This window comes from Homo sapiens, chromosome 22 (genome assembly GCF_000001405.40).
Source record: "Homo sapiens chromosome 22, GRCh38.p14 Primary Assembly".
Taxonomy (NCBI): Eukaryota; Metazoa; Chordata; class Mammalia; order Primates; family Hominidae; genus Homo; species Homo sapiens.
In genome coordinates this window covers 38,129,915-38,145,102 of record NC_000022.11, presented here as the reverse complement: position 1 = coordinate 38,145,102, position 15,188 = coordinate 38,129,915, and the positions used below count along the sequence as shown (strand labels likewise).

The following is a 15,188-nucleotide window of genomic DNA, read 5'->3' as shown; positions in this document are numbered from 1 at the left end:
ACCACTGCACTTCAGCCTGGGTGACAGAATGAGACCTTGTCTCTAGGAAAAAAAAAAAAAAAAAAAAAAAGGTGCTGCGTTGCTACCAGATTAAAATGTAAGAAGGACAATGTAATGTTTCCAGAGTCCGGAGTGCTCACCAGGTGCCAGGTCTGTGGGAGCTGATTTCTACCCACCATGAAATTGAATTTTCCCAACCCCCACAAGGTATCGTCATTTTATTTTACTTTATTTTATTTTATTTTATTTTATTTTATTTTATTTTATTTTATGTTACGTTATGTTATTTTATTTTGAGACGGAGTCTTATTCTGTCACCCAGGCTGGAGTGCAGTGGCGCGATCTTGGCTCACTGCACCCTCTGCCTCCTGGGTTCAGGTGATTCTCCTGCCTCAGCCTCCGGAATAGCTGGGATTACAGTAATGTGCCATCATGCCCGGGTAATTTTTTTTTTTTTTTTTTTTTTTTTTGAGACGGAGTCTCGCTCTGTCGCCCAGGCTGGAGTGCAGTGGCGCGATCTCGGCTCACTGCAAGCTCCGCCTCCCGGGTTCACGCCATTCTCCTGCCTCAGCCTCCCGCGTAGCTGGGACTACAGGCGCCCGCCACCACGCCCGGCTAATTTTTTTGTGTTTTTTAGTAGAGACGGGGTTTCACCATGTTGGCCAGGTTGGTCTCGAACTCCTAACCTCAGGTGATCTGCCCTCCTTGGCCTCCCAAAGTGCCGGGATTACAGGCGTGAGCCACCATGCCCGGCCCAGGTATCATCATTCTAGAGAGAGCTAACAGGACTTGTGCAGGTCACTCAGCCAGAGAGGGTGAAAGAGGGGCTTGGATCCTTGGTGTCTGCCCAGGCTGCTCTTCTGGAAGCTGAAGGCCTCCTTTTGTGAATCCATTCAGCCAGCAGATGGAGCAGCTGTTGCCCCTGGTGAGGGCACTGTCCCCACCCTTGCACAGGGCACCAGTTGGCCATCTTGTGCAGAGGTAGCCACACCTCCTCTGAGTCTCTATCCTAGATAGCTCAGTTAAGCTCCCAGGCCCAGAACTCAAAACCTCACTGCTGGCCGGGCGTGGTGGCTCACACCTGTAATCCCAGCACTTTGTGAGGCCGAGGCGGGTGTATCACTTGAGGTCAGGAGTTTGAGACCAGCCTGGCCAACGTGGTGAAACCCCGTCTCTACTAAAAATACAAAAAATTAGCAAGGCGTGGTGGCGCACGCCTGTAATCCCAGCTACTCGGGAGGCTGAGGCAGGAGAATTGCTTGAACCCAGAGGCGGAGGTTGCAGTGAGCCGAGATTGTGTCACTGCATTACAGCCTGGGCAACAAGAGTGAAACTCCACCTCAAAAAAACAAAACAAAACAAAAACCCTCACTGCACTTTAGTTTCCAGGCGTGCTTTTGGACAGCACTGTCTCATCTCACCATCACTCTGTCCATTTCCTGGGGCAGGCACAGCAGCTTGTGTCGATAAGGATATTGACGCCCAGAAAGGTTAAGTGAATTGCCTGAGGCTAGTGAGATATCCGTGTTCTGTGACCCTTTCCTGTGCCACCACCCTGCCCACTTCCTGCTGGTGTGGCCCTGGGGCCCATCTCTTGTACGAGTGAGCAAACTGAACAGAAACCTGATACAGGTCACATCAGATATAATTACATTCAAATCAGCCCAACTAGCTGAGTGGCGGGAATGCTCTTGAGCTCAAATAAACCAGAAAGTCCGAGTTTCCGAGTGCACTTCCCTGCATGTGCACTTAGGTCCCCCTGCCACCTTGTACCACACCTGCTCACCTCTGCTCACCCTGGCCCTCTCCTGCAGCTGTGCCAATTGCGCGGAGAACGAGGAGGGCTGCACACCCCTGCACCTGGCCTGCCGCAAGGGTGATGGGGAGATCCTGGTGGAGCTGGTGCAGTACTGCCACACTCAGATGGATGTCACCGACTACAAGGGAGAGACCGTCTTCCATTATGCTGTCCAGGGTGACAATTCTCAGGTGCTGCAGGTGAGCAGGGGGAGGGGCAGGGTGACTGGTACTGATACCTCCCGGTGTCCACGGTTCCCTTTGGGCCCCTAGGCTCAGGTGTCACTCTCAGGCCTCTCACTGTCCCCCATTGGTCCTTGAGGCCTGAGCTCCTTCATGGAGGGTGCAGACCCCTCCCTGGCTCTTCCCTCCCAGCCCTTTTCCAGGAGCCACGTCCTCAGTCTCTTTGCTTGATAAACCTGGGGACGGCCTCCAACCCAGCAAAATAAACCCCAAAAAAGGCCCAGCTCCAGTCAGTTAGTTCAGTTCCACTTTTCCTGAGCACAAACTGTGAGCCAGATGCCTGCCTGGAGGGGCTCGTGGGCCAGCGGGACCTGGGCTTAACCTTTTGCAAGCTTGTCCAATCTGTGGCCCTGCAGGCTGCATGCAGCCCAGGACGGCTTTGAATGTGGCCCAACACAAATTCACAAACTTTCTTAAAACATTATGAGATCCATGCATGGACCTTTTTTTTAGATCAGCTGTTGTTAGCGTTCATGTATTTTATGTGTGACCCAAGACAATTCTTCTGATGTGGCCCAGGGAGGCCAAAATATTGGACAACCCTATTTTACAGGAATTCAAACCAAGCAAACCAAACTGTCTCCAGTTCCTGTAGGCATTTGTGCCAGAGGCCCTCCTGTTAACGTTTTTGATTACCTGGGCAAAAGATGTGATTTTTTAATTGTGGGCAAGCAGATGGGGTGATACTATTAAATAGCTATTTCATATATTAGATTGAACAGAAAAGGCAGGATGTTGGATTATGTTTTATTGTCTAGAATTAGAAAATTCTTCTAAAGATCATGTTCTCTCTGCCTTGGCATCAGAATGCAACTACGTTATACCAGAAAATGTGGATTCCTTTTTTTTTTTTTTTTTTTTTTTTTTTGAGACAGAGTTTCCCTATGTCTCCCAGGCTAGAGTGCAGTGGTGCGATCTCGGCTCACTGCAACCTCCACCTCCTGGGTTGAAGTGATGCTCGTGCCTCAGCTTCCTGAGTAGCTGGGATTACAGGCATGTGCCACCATGCCTGGGTAGTTTCCGTATTTTTAGTAGGGATGGGGTTTTGCCATGTTGCCCAGGCTGGTCTCCAACTCCTGGCCTTAAGTGATCCACCTGCCTCAGCCTCCCAAAATGCCGGGATTACAGGTGTGAGCCACTGTGCCCGGCCCAGAAAATGTGGATTCATATCTTATGCTTCTTGCTCTCAGGGAAGGGAATTCTCCACCCACTGTTGAACTCCACTTTCACCGAGAATCCTCTGCGCACCCAGCATGGTGCCGCGCAGACCCTGCCTCCATGCGGGGGTGTGCACACCCGCTTCTCGATAGTCATGCACGACTGCAGCTGTCCTTTATCCGGTGCTGATTGGTGCCTGACCTTGAACTGAGTGTTGTATGTGTTCCAGTTAATTCTTAGAATACACTCATGGGGTGGAGGTCATTATTCCCCTTTCCTCTCCGAAGAAACTGAGGTTCAGTGTTGTTAATTAAGAAGCGTGCCCAGGGAGGGCCACAAAGCTGAGAGAGTGGGGCTTGACCTTACATTGGCCTCGATGCCAGCCCTTTGCTCTTCCTGCTGTGTCTCTGGCCTGCCTTCAGGTCCAGTGGGACTGCTGTGAGGTGACCCTGGTGTCACATGGGTACACTGTGGTTGTAATGAACCTCATGGGGACAGCACTGAGCCAAAAGTGAGACAGTAAAACCCTCCTAGCACTTTCTTTTTTTTGAGACAGCATCTAGCTCTGTCGCCCAGGCTGGAGTGCAGTGGTGTGATTGTGGCTCACTGCAGCCTCAACCTCCTGGACTCAGGTGATCCTCCCACCTCAGCCTCCTGAGCAGCTGGGACTACAGGCTCGTGCCACCACATGGGCTAATTTTTTTTTTTTTTGAGACGGAGTCTTGCTCTGTCGCCCAGGCTGGAGTGCAGTGGCGCGATCTTGGCTCACTGCAAGCTCTGCCTCCCGGGTTCATGCCATCCTCCTGCCTCAGCCTCCAGAGTAGCTGGGACTACAGGCGCCCGCCACCACACCCGGCTAATTTTTTTTGTATTTTTAGTAGAGACAGGGTTTCACCGTGTTCGCCAGGATGGTCTTGGTCTCCTGACCTTGTGATCCGCCTGCCTCGGCCTCCCAAAGTGCTGGGATTACAGGCGTGAGCCACCACACCCAGGCCACGCCAGCTAATTTTTAAAATTTTTTTGGTAAAGATGGGGTCTCCCTATGTTGCCGAGGCTGGTATCACACTCTTGGTCTCAAGTGATCCTCTCACCTCCCAGTGTGTTGGAATTACAAGCATGAGCCACTGCGCCTGGCCCCTGGCTCTCTTTTTAATACTGCTGTTCTTTCATTGAAAACATAGTACCTGCATGTAGAAAAAAATCAGTCAGGACAGAATGAAAAGCAAGAATCATTCCCACCTGGACCCCCAGTGCCCATCCTGAGATACAGCTACCTTTTAAGTTCCTTGACTCAGAAATGTTTCATGTGAGCCACAGTCATGCCAGGTCGACCCCTTCCCTCCCATCCACACTGGCACTTGGCTTTCCTGGTGCTTCTCTTTACGTTCTTTTTTTTTAGACAGAGTTTTTGCTCTATTGCCCAGGCTAGAGTGCAATGATGCAATCTCAGCTCACTGCAACCTCTGCCTCCTGGGTTCAAGCGATTCTCTTTCCTCAGGTTCCTGAGTAGCTGGGATTACAGGTGCCTGCCACCATGCCCGGCTAATTTTTGTATCGTTAGAAGAGACGACATTTCACCATGTTGGCCAGGCTGGTCTCAAACTCTTGACCTCAGGTGATCCACCCACCTTGGCCTCCCAAAGTGCTAGGATTACAGGCATGAGCCACTGCGCCCGGCCTCTTTACGTTCTTATCAGCATCCTATGGAGTCAAACTTCCCTTCCTCTTTCATCAGCTCCTTGGAAGGAACGCAGTGGCTGGCCTGAACCAGGTGAATAACCAAGGGCTGACCCCGCTGCACCTGGCCTGCCAGCTGGGGAAGCAGGAGATGGTCCGCGTGCTGCTGCTGTGCAATGCTCGGTGCAACATCATGGGCCCCAACGGCTACCCCATCCACTCGGCCATGAAGTTCTCTCAGAAGGGGTAAGACCTCCTCCCCTCCCCATCTGCTGGCCTGCTGGGCTCCAGCTCTCCTGTCACCTGTCCCGTGCCTGAGGCAAGCAGTATCCACCATAGATCTTAGCATCTCCAGCCTCAGAGCAGAGGCCCCGGGTTCACAAGCCTCATTAGGCCCCGCCTGGCCCAAAGAAGGTGCTCCATCATTGTATCATGGGTAGGAATCTCGGTTCACAAGTTCAGCTGTGCAAGGAGGAGACTTTAAAATTTTTCTGGCTGGGCGCGGTGTCTCACGCCTGTAATCCCAACACTTTGGGAGGCTGAGGTGGGCAGATCACCTGAGGTCGGGAGTTCGAGACCAGCCTGACCAACATGAAGAAACCCCATCTCTACTAAAAAATACAAAATTAGCTGGGCGTGGTGACACATGCCTGTAATCCCAGCTACTTGGAAGGCTGAGGCAGGAGAATCGGTTGAACCCGGGAGGCGGAGGTTGCAGTGAGCCGAGATCGCACCGTTGCACTCCAGCCTGGGCAATAAGAGCGAAACTGTCTCAAAAAATAAATAAATAAATAAATAAATAAATAAATAAAAATAAATTTATTTAATGTACCTTAATTCCTAGGAGTGAATCTCCCTCTATAAAACTGGAGACAACCAATCTTAGCCCTCTTTGGGGTCTCCTCTTTCCAGCTCCCCTCCAGGTGGTGCTCCAGTTCTGGAGTCTGATGCAACCCCAAGGCCCACCTGGCCCCTCCTCTAACCCAGCCCAGCCTGATCTGAACAGCCCCCCGATGGCTTCAGTGCTCCTTGGTTTCTTGTGTGCCCAGCTCAAAGCCTGGGAAATGCTTGGTAAGGTGGCCGAGTGCCCGTCCACCTAGATGCCTCTTTCCTTTCTGGCTGGTGGCACGTTGGGAGGCAGGTACAGGCTCATGTTTTGGGAGCCTGGGAACCCCTGGTGTCAGGAAAATTGTCTTCAAAGGGGTAGGGGATGAGATAAAAAGATAAATGAATATCTCAAATCTCAAAATACTATCTAGGCCAGGCGCGGTGGCTCACACCTGTAATCCCAGCAGTTTGGGAGGCCAAGGTGGGTGGATCACCTGAAGTCAGGAGTTCGAGACCAGCCTGACCAATATGGTGAAACCCTGTCTCTACTAAAAATACAAAAATTAGCCAGGTGTGGTGGTGTGTGCCTGTAGTCCCAGCTACTCAGGAGGCTGAGACAGGAGAATTGTTTGAAACTGGGAGGCAGAGGTTGCAGTGATTTGAGATTGTGCCACAGCACTCCAGCCAGGGCGACAGAACAAGACTCCATCTCAAGAAAAAAAATACTATCTAACAGGAACAACATCTAGAATGAATGAATGAGCCAATGAGTCCTTCGATCCTGGCACTGTGCTAAAGCACCAGCCTCACCGAAATGAATAAGCCACTCCAGGACAGGAGACACCCCAGCCACCCAGAATCTCATAGCGCAGTGCCAGACAAGCAGTGAGAAGGCATGGACGGGCAGCACTCAGGCAGGGAGGCTGGCACTTGTGCCTGTCCTCAGGTTGTTCCTTCCTCTGGGAGCTGCATCCACCTTGCTAGCCCCATGGGGCATTGCTAGCCCTTCTAAGGGCTGGACCAAGCCTGGACAAACCCTCCTTTCCTTGAATCTCCCAAGCACAGCCAGAATGAGCTAGAGCTTTCAGAAATACTTGACCAAACAGAGAAGATACCAACACCCCCAGCCCCGCAGTCAGGTTCCCCATTTGCAGGTTGTGACCTGAGTGGACACCAGGTGATGCTCTTCTCTACCCAGAGGGCTGGCACATGGCCCCACTCTTGCTTGTCTCCAGCCACCCTGAGCTGTACTGGGCAGGAGCTGTAATTGACCAGTTTTCTCTCTCTTCAAACAACCTCAGCCCTCACCGGTCCCTCTGTCCCCACACAGGCCATCCTGGGTGGGTCCAGCGTCCCATCACATAAGAGGATCTTTGCACAGAAGACAAAGGAAGAGGCTCCTACCTTGAGTGGAGCAGGGAGATCCCTTATCGACTTGGCAGCCAGCACAGCCCTACTCCAAGAATCCCACGGCCTCAGTGTTACTGACAAGTGGTTCCCTCACAGCTCAGACTAGGAGCTCCCTCGCTGTTTTTCTTTTTCTTTTCTTTTCTTTGTTTTGTTTTTGAGACAGAGTTTCACTCTGTCACCCAGGCTGGAGTGCAATGGCATGATCTTGGCTCACTGCAACCTCTGCCTCCCAGGTTCAACTGATTCTCCTGCCTCAGCCTCCCAAGGAGCTGGGATTACAGGTGTGCGCCACTATGCCCAGCTAATTTTTGTATTTTTAGTAGAGATGGGGTTTCATCATGTTGACCAGGCTAGTCTTGAACTCCTGACCTCAGGTGATCTACTTGCCTCGCCCTCCCAACATGCTGGGATTACAGGCGTGAGCCACCGCGCCTGGCCACCTCTGCTGTTTTTCAATGCAGCTGACCTTTCCCACAAAGCTCGGTTTGTGCCTGCGGTTCTCAGATGGTTAAGCCCCTGCTGAGGAAGGGAAACAGATAATCCCAGACAGTGAGATGGAGGCTGAGACTGAGGATGCCTGGGGGCTGCACTAGGAGCTCAGAGACGGCATCAGGCAGCTGGAGTTCAGGGAAGGTTTGGGGGCAGCAGAGCCCGAGCCAAGCCATGGACACTAGCCGGAGCTGGCCACTCGGGTGAAGACTTGGGGGGCTCCAGAGGGCCCAGGGAAAGAAGCTGGGCCTGACTCCATGTGCCTAGTGCTGAGCACCAAGCGCTGGCATAAGGGCTGTAGGGAGCTGGGCAGCATAAATCCTGGGCCTGTGCTGGGCACCCCTAATAATAGAGAACAGCAGCTGAACACTAACGCTGTCCCAGCCACCGGCTTAGCCTTCATGTGGGCTATTTCACTATAGCCCAGAGAGCTGATGTATTTTATTCCCCCTCTAAAGCTGAGGGCCAAGTGTGGTGGCTCATGCCTCTAATCCCAGCACTTTGGGAGGCTGAGGCAGGAGGATCGCTTGAGCCTAGGAGTTTGAGGCTACAGTGAGCTATGATCATGCCATTGCCCTCCAGCCTGGGTGACAAAGGGAAATCCTGTCTCAAACAAACAAACAAAAAACAGATGAGGAAACCAGGGCTTAGAGAGATTAAGTAATTTGCTCAAAGTCAGGCAGTCAGTAAGTGCCAGACCTGGGAATTAAACCCATGTGGGCTGTCCTAGTAATTGCACTAAAAAAAAAAAAAAAAAAAAGCTTTATTGAGATATAGTTCCTATTCCATACAATCCACCTATTGAAAGTATACAATGATTCTGATATATTATGTTTATTTTTTCCAACTGTGATAGATTATATATAACATAAAATTTGCCATTTTAACCACTTTTGTTTTTTGTTTTTGAGACAGAGTTTCGCTCTCGTTGCTCAGGCTGGAGTGCAATGGTGTGATCTCGGCTTACCGTTACCTCCACCTCCCGGGTTCAAGTGATTCTCCTGCCTCAGCCTCCCGAGTAGTAGCTGGGATTACAGGCATGCACCACCATGCCCAGTTAATTTTGTATTTTTTAGTAGAGACAGGGTTTCTCCATGTTGGTCAGGCTGGTCTCGAACTCCCGACCTCAGGTGATCCACCCACCTTGGCCTCCCAAAGTGCTGGGATTACAGGCGTGAGCCACCACACCCGGCCCATTTTAACCACTTTTAAGTGTACAATTCGGTGGTTTTAATCACATTTACAATGTTGTCCAACCATTACCCCTTTCTAAAACTTTTCTTATCACCTCAAACAGAAACTGTAACCATTAATAACTCCCGATTCTCCCCTCCCCACAGCCCCCGATAAGTCCCATATCCTCTCTGTCTCTCAGAACTTGCCTGTTCTAGAACCTCGTATCAGTGAAATCATACAGCGTTTGTCCTTTTGTGCCTGGCTTATTTCACTTAGCATGATGTCTTCAAGGCTCATCCATGTTGCAGCACGTATCAGAATTTCCTTTCTTTTTAAGGCAGAATACTATTTTGTTTATCCATTCAGTCCTTCACTGATAGACGCCTGGGTTGTTTCCACCTTTTGTCTGTTGTGAAGAATGCTGCTGTGTACATGGGTCTGCAAATGTCCATTCAAGTCCCTGCATTCCGTCCTTTGATACTTCCGACCTCAGGTGATCCGCCTGCCTCAGCCTCCCAAAGTGTTGGGATTACAGGCGTGAGACACCGCGCCCAGCCAGAAAAATTTTAAAGTCTTCTCCTTGCACAGCTGAACTTGTGAACCGAGATTCCTACCCATGATACAATGATGGAGCACTTTCTTTGGGCCAGGCGGGGCCTAATGAGGCTTGTGAACCCGGGGCCTCTGCTCTGAGGCTGGAGATGCTAAGATCTCTGGTGGACACTGCTTGCCTCAGGCACCGAGTAGAAAGCAATTGTGCTCTTTCCCACTCTGTCATACTGCTTCCTATAGCATGCAGGTCACTGTGTGACTCACTGACAGTGTGGTAAGGAGGTGGAGGGTGGCTGTGTGCCAGGCACAGAACTGGGCTCTGAAATGCCTGGTCTTCCTTACACCCCAGCCACTCCTCTCAGCACTCTCTCCATGTTGCTCAGCTTCTGGAGGCCACCAGTGAGGAAGCTGGGGCTTGACTTCAAGCCCATCTGACTCTAAAGCCAGTACCAGGGAGGGTGATCATTGCTGGTGGCAGCATCAGGAAGGCTTCCTGGAGGAGGGGGTTAGTTGTGCCTTGAGGGGCTCAGTACAGCCTTAACCATGGTGAGTGTGCTGGTTGGGTTTGCTGAACTTTGTTTGCAGTGATGCTCTCTGTAAGCAGTAGATGAAGCTCCAAGTCCTGGCTTCATCCCACGCCACGCAGACCCTAGCTTCTGCTCACCAACCGGGGCCCCTCTCTCACCAGGTGTGCGGAGATGATCATCAGCATGGACAGCAGCCAGATCCACAGCAAAGACCCCCGTTACGGAGCCAGCCCCCTCCACTGGGCCAAGAACGCAGAGGTGAGTGGATCCTGAGGTGGGTGGGTGGGGCAGGGGGCCGGGCCCCGCAGGTCCTCAGGGCCCTCAGGAAGCAGGTTCCCGAGAGGACCCTGAGGCTAGCACTTGGGGGCTGACCTTGCAGTGGGTGTGCAGGCAGAGAAGTCCATGAAGAGCTGGGATCCTGGCAGGGCTCTGCTGCTCTCTGGCTGGGCGGGGGGATCCGCCCTGTGCCTCAGTTTCCTCATCCATGAATTCTGCTTTGGCGATGTGATGAAGTCAGCAAGGCAGTGTGTGACAAAACTCGGCACAAATTGTAAAGTGCTTCCCAAATAGAAGGTGGCGTGATGATGATTGTATTATTAGTCAGGATTCTCTAGAGGGCCAGAACTAACAGGAGATATATATATAGAGAGAGAGGGGGGTTTATTTTTTTATTTTATTTTTTTTGAGACGGAGTCTCGCTCTGTCGCCCAGGCTGGAGTGCAGTGGCACAATCTTGGCTCACTGCAAGCTCTGCCTCCCAGGTTCATGCCATTCTCCTGCCTCAGCCTCCTGAGTAGCTGGGACTACAGGCGCCCGCCACCACACCCGGCTAATTTTTTTGTATTTTTAGTAGAGACGAGGTTTCACCGTGTTAGCCAGGATGGTCTCGATCTCCTGACCTCGTGATCTGCCTGCCTTGGCCTCCCAAAGTGCTGGGATTATAGGCGTGAGCCACCGTGCCTGGCCTAAAGGGGGATTTATTAAGGAGCATTAACTCACACGATCACAAGGTCCCACAATAGGCCATCGCAAGCTGAGGAGCAAGGAAGCCAGTCCAAGTCCCAGAGCTGAAGGACTTGGAGTCTGATGTTTGAGGGCAGGAAGCATCCAGCACGGGAGAAAGATGTAGGCTGGGAGGCTAAGCCAGTCTAGCCTTTTCACATTTTTTTCTGCCTGCTTTATATTCTGGCCGTGCTGGCAGCTGATTAGATGGTGCCCACCCAGATTAAGGGTAGGTCTGCCTTCCCCTACTGACTCAAATGTTAATCTCCGTTAGCAGCACCCTCTCAGACACACCCAGGGTCAATACTTTACATCCTTCAATCCAATCAAGTTGACACTCATTATTAACCATCAAGATGATGATGATGATGATGGATGATGATGGTGGTGGTGGTGGTGCTGGGCCTAGCTGCACACACAGGGAGCCTGGCTGGGCATCTCCTCTGAGTTCTTCCCCTAAGCTAAGCTCTGTCCTCCTGGGAGGATGGAGGCCTCTGGTCTCATCACCAGGAAGCACAGCTTGACAGAGAATGGGATGCCCCAGAGTTCATGGCCTACTTCTCAATGTGATGGGCCAGGAGGGAGGGCACTGCCAGCCTCAGGGTACCTCTGCATTCCAGGAGCCGGACACCGAGTCAGGCCCTTCCGTGTAGGTTTGGTCACTCATTGTCATCACATGCTGTGAGGTGGGGACTTGCATTCCCATCTTCACAGAAGCCCTGAAGTGCACATGGCTACAGTGACCCATCCAAGCGCAGGCAGCTGGGATGAGTGAAGCTGGGCTTTGGGCTCAGGTCTGTGACTCCAAAGCCAGGCTCCCCTCCCTGTTCCCAAGGCTCTGCCAGGGATGTGCATTGCCAAGGCCCAGTGAGAGGTGATACCTTTGCAGGGTTCCAGGGAGGGATGCAGGGAGCGGGGTGCTTCAGGACAGGCCCCAGAGGAGCCTTTGCAAGGAGAGTGGGTTCTGTTGGCACTAGGAAAGGACCAGAAGCCTCTTAAAACAGTCAGCACATCTTTGGCTTTTTGTCCCTAGTCTTGGGATGCTGATGGGATGGGAGGCAGTCTAGGCCCCCCTAGAACTGGGGCCTGCCCCTGGAATCCTCTTGCTAGCGCTTTCCAACATCCCAGTACCTGTAGGCCTCTCAGAGCAGAAGTGGCAGTGCCCACGTGTCCCGGGGTGCGGCAGCTCCCCGAGTGCCTGTGCTAACTCAGCCTGACCGTCTCCCGCAGATGGCCCGCATGCTGCTGAAACGGGGCTGCAACGTGAACAGCACCAGCTCCGCGGGGAACACGGCCCTGCACGTGGCGGTGATGCGCAACCGCTTCGACTGTGCCATAGTGCTGCTGACCCACGGGGCCAACGCGGATGCCCGCGGAGAGCACGGCAACACCCCGCTGCACCTGGCCATGTCGGTGAGCCCAGGACCGCGTGTCCTGCCCTGTGGGGCCCCGGTGGGAATGCAGGAGGGCTGTCCGGACTGGAGCCCTCCTCCCCACTGTCTCCCTCCTATCGTCAGCTGCTCCAAATCATCTTCCCACCCAAAGCTCAGTTCAGACCCTGACTCCTCCCTCAGGAAGCCTTCCAAGTCCCCCTCTCAGCCCAAAATAACACCACCTCCTGTGTGCTGTGGTACCTTTTCCACCTGTGCCCCCATTTGGCACTTGCATGGCACGAGAGGGAAAAATGACAGCTCTGGCCATAGACTGGCCCTGAGCAAGCCATGTCACCTGTCAGCCTCGATTTCCTCATCTGGAAAATGGTGGTGTCAATACTTATCTGGAAGAGTTGTGGAAAAGTTATGGTGGACACTTGGTCACCCTCTACAGAATGTCTAAGTGACACACGCAGTACCTGGCCCGAGTGAGCATCCTGCTTCCCTTCACTGGTCCGCGTGTTGCTCTCATCTTCCCTGGGAGGCTGTAAGATCCTGGCAGGCAAAGCCTGAGTGTGCAGCCCAGCAGCCTGTGGCAGGTGCCAGGCATATTCGTTGGTTTATTATAGAACACAGTTCCTGCCCTCAAAGCCCTTACTGTCTGGTTACACATCTAGAGTATGAACATATTAAACCTAGCAGAGGAGGACGTTACTGTGTTACAGACATATGTGTGTGCATGTATTCTTTTTTTTCGAGATGGAGTCTCGCACTGTCGCCCAGGCTGGAGTGCAGTGGCGCGATCTCGGCTCACCACAACCTCCGCCTCCCAGGTTCAAGCGATTCTCCTGCCTCAGCCTCCCAAGTAGCTGGGACTGCAGGCACGTGCCACCATGCCCAGCTAATTTTTGTATTTTTAGTAGAGACGGGGTTTCACCACGTTGGCCAGGCTGGTCTCGAACTCCTGTGTTGGCCAGGCTGGTCTCAAACTCCTGACCTCATGATCCACCCGCCTTGGCACCCCAAAGTGCTGGGATTACAGGCGTGAGCCACCGCGCCCCACCGTGTGCACGTTTTCTATAGCAATACCGTATGTACAGAAGTCTGTTTACTGAGTCTCAGTGACAGAACATGAGAGACCCCCGGGACTCTAAAAGCTGATTCAGGACACATTCAGAGACATCCTGTTTTATACCAAAGGTCAAAACTTGGAAGAGATGTTGTTGCCCAAAAGGCTGAAACTATAAATAGTTTCATTTTTGAAACTGTGGACATTTTTAGCACTGGGTGGGCCCTTGGAATGATCTAACTCAGCAGTTCTCAAGTTTTTTGGCCTATTTGATCCCTTTATACTCTGAAAAATTATTGAGGATCACAAAGATTTTTTAATCATCTGGATTTTCTTTATCTATATTTACCATTTTAGAAATTTAAAGTGTGAAAATTTCAAAATATTAATTCATTTAAAAATAACAATAATAAATATATATGCCTACTATGTACCCACAAAAATTAAAATTAAAAATTTTTTAAAAAACTTAAAAAATAACTGGCCAGCTGCAGTGGCTCGTGTACACCAGCACTTTGGGAGGCCAAGATGGTCAGATCACCTGAGGCCAGGAGTTCGAGACCAGCCTGGCCAACATGGCGAAAGCCCATCTCTACTAAAAATGCAAAATTAGCTGGGTGTGAGACCTCTGAAAGGGTATCACGTGTTCACAGGGGTCCCCAGGTCTTACTTTAAGAACTGCTGATAGACTTTGGTCATCTTCATCCCATCTTCACAGTTTTTGGCATATTCATCAACCACCTTTACAATTATGTACTTAATCACCTCTTCAAATTGGCTTACTTTTATTTATTTATTTTGAGACAGAGTTTCGCTTTTGTTGCCCAGGCTGGAGTGCAATGGCACGATCTTGGCTCACCGCAACCTCTGCCTCCTGGGTTCAAGCGATTCTCCTGCCTCAGCTTCCCGAGTAGCTGGGATTACGTTCATGCGCCACCACACCTGGCTAATTTTGTATTTTTAGTAGAGACGGGGTTTCTCCATGTTGGTCAGGCTGGTCTTGAACTCCTGACCTCAGGTGTTCCACCTGCCTCAGCCTCCCAAACTGCTGGGATTACAAGCGTGAGCCACCGTGCCCGGCCTGGCTTACTTTTAAACTGACTTAAATTTATTTTGAGAGAAATGTTGCATCACTACCATAAATGGCCATCCATCCATCCAGTGCCAACCATAAAAGGTAACCAATGCAGGGCGCGGTGGCTCACGCCTGTAATCCCAGCATTTTGGGAGGCCGAGGTGGGCGAATCACGAGGTCAGGAGTTCAAGACCAGCCTGGCCAACATGGTGAAACCCTGTCTCTACTAAAAATACAAAAAATTAGCTGGGCGTAGTGGTGGGCACCTGTAATACCAGCTACTCTGGAGGCTGAGGCAGGAGAATTGCTTGAACTCGGTAGGTAGAGGTTGCAGTGAGCTGAGATCACGCCACTGCACTCCAGCCTGGGTGACAGAGTGAGACTCCGTCTCAAAAAAAACAAAACAAAACAGTAACAACAACAAAAAATCACAGTTAATGCTGAAAACACACACATATCTGTAGCCATAGAAGTCCTAATAGAATGTGAAGAACTGTTTGGAAAACCCCATTCTAGACCCACAGCTTCATTCTCTAGGCAGGGAAATCGGGTCCCAAGAAGAGGAAGGTGACAAGGCCAGAGCCCACAGTTCCAGGTGGCCAGTGTGTCCTCTGAAACCATGCCATGCTCTGCGCCCCTGCCCGGCCTCCAGGTGTGGAAATGTGTGACGTTCTTCGTGGGGACACTCCCCCGAAGGCTGCCATTAGGGGCACGTGTGTTCGGTTACCCCTCAGGGATGACACCCTGGACTGGGTGGGCAAGATGGCCTTCCCTGCCCTCACCCACCCTCTCCTTGCTACTCCTGAAAGCCA

At 51.6% G+C, this 15,188-nt stretch overlaps 1 protein-coding gene across 9 annotated transcripts in view, besides 1 other annotated feature; it reads left to right on the top strand.

The window, feature by feature from the left end:
• Positions 1–15,188, top strand: part of PLA2G6 (phospholipase A2 group VI) — a 70,336-nt gene that overhangs the window by 36,728 nt on the left and 18,420 nt on the right. For 8 of the 9 annotated variants that reach the window (NM_001349866.2, NM_001199562.3, NM_001349869.2 and 5 more), the window contains 4 exons: positions 1,815–1,998; positions 4,934–5,121; positions 10,019–10,115; positions 12,090–12,272. In NM_001349866.2, the coding sequence (NP_001336795.1) occupies positions 1,815–1,998; positions 4,934–5,121; positions 10,019–10,115; positions 12,090–12,272 (652 nt within the window). The remainder of the gene's footprint in view (positions 1–1,814; positions 1,999–4,933; positions 5,122–10,018; positions 10,116–12,089; positions 12,273–15,188) is intronic. The other variant, NM_001349868.2, reaches the window with a different exon arrangement.
• Positions 1,854–2,354: an enhancer, noted in NCBI's record as "H3K4me1 hESC enhancer chr22:38538756-38539256 (GRCh37/hg19 assembly coordinates)". NCBI's record gives its function as "activates a minimal SCP1, AML or CMV promoter by ChIP-STARR-seq in naive H9 embryonic stem cells {active_cell/tissue: H9 hESC(naive)}" and the evidence as "EXISTENCE:reporter gene assay evidence [ECO:0000049][PMID:30033119]".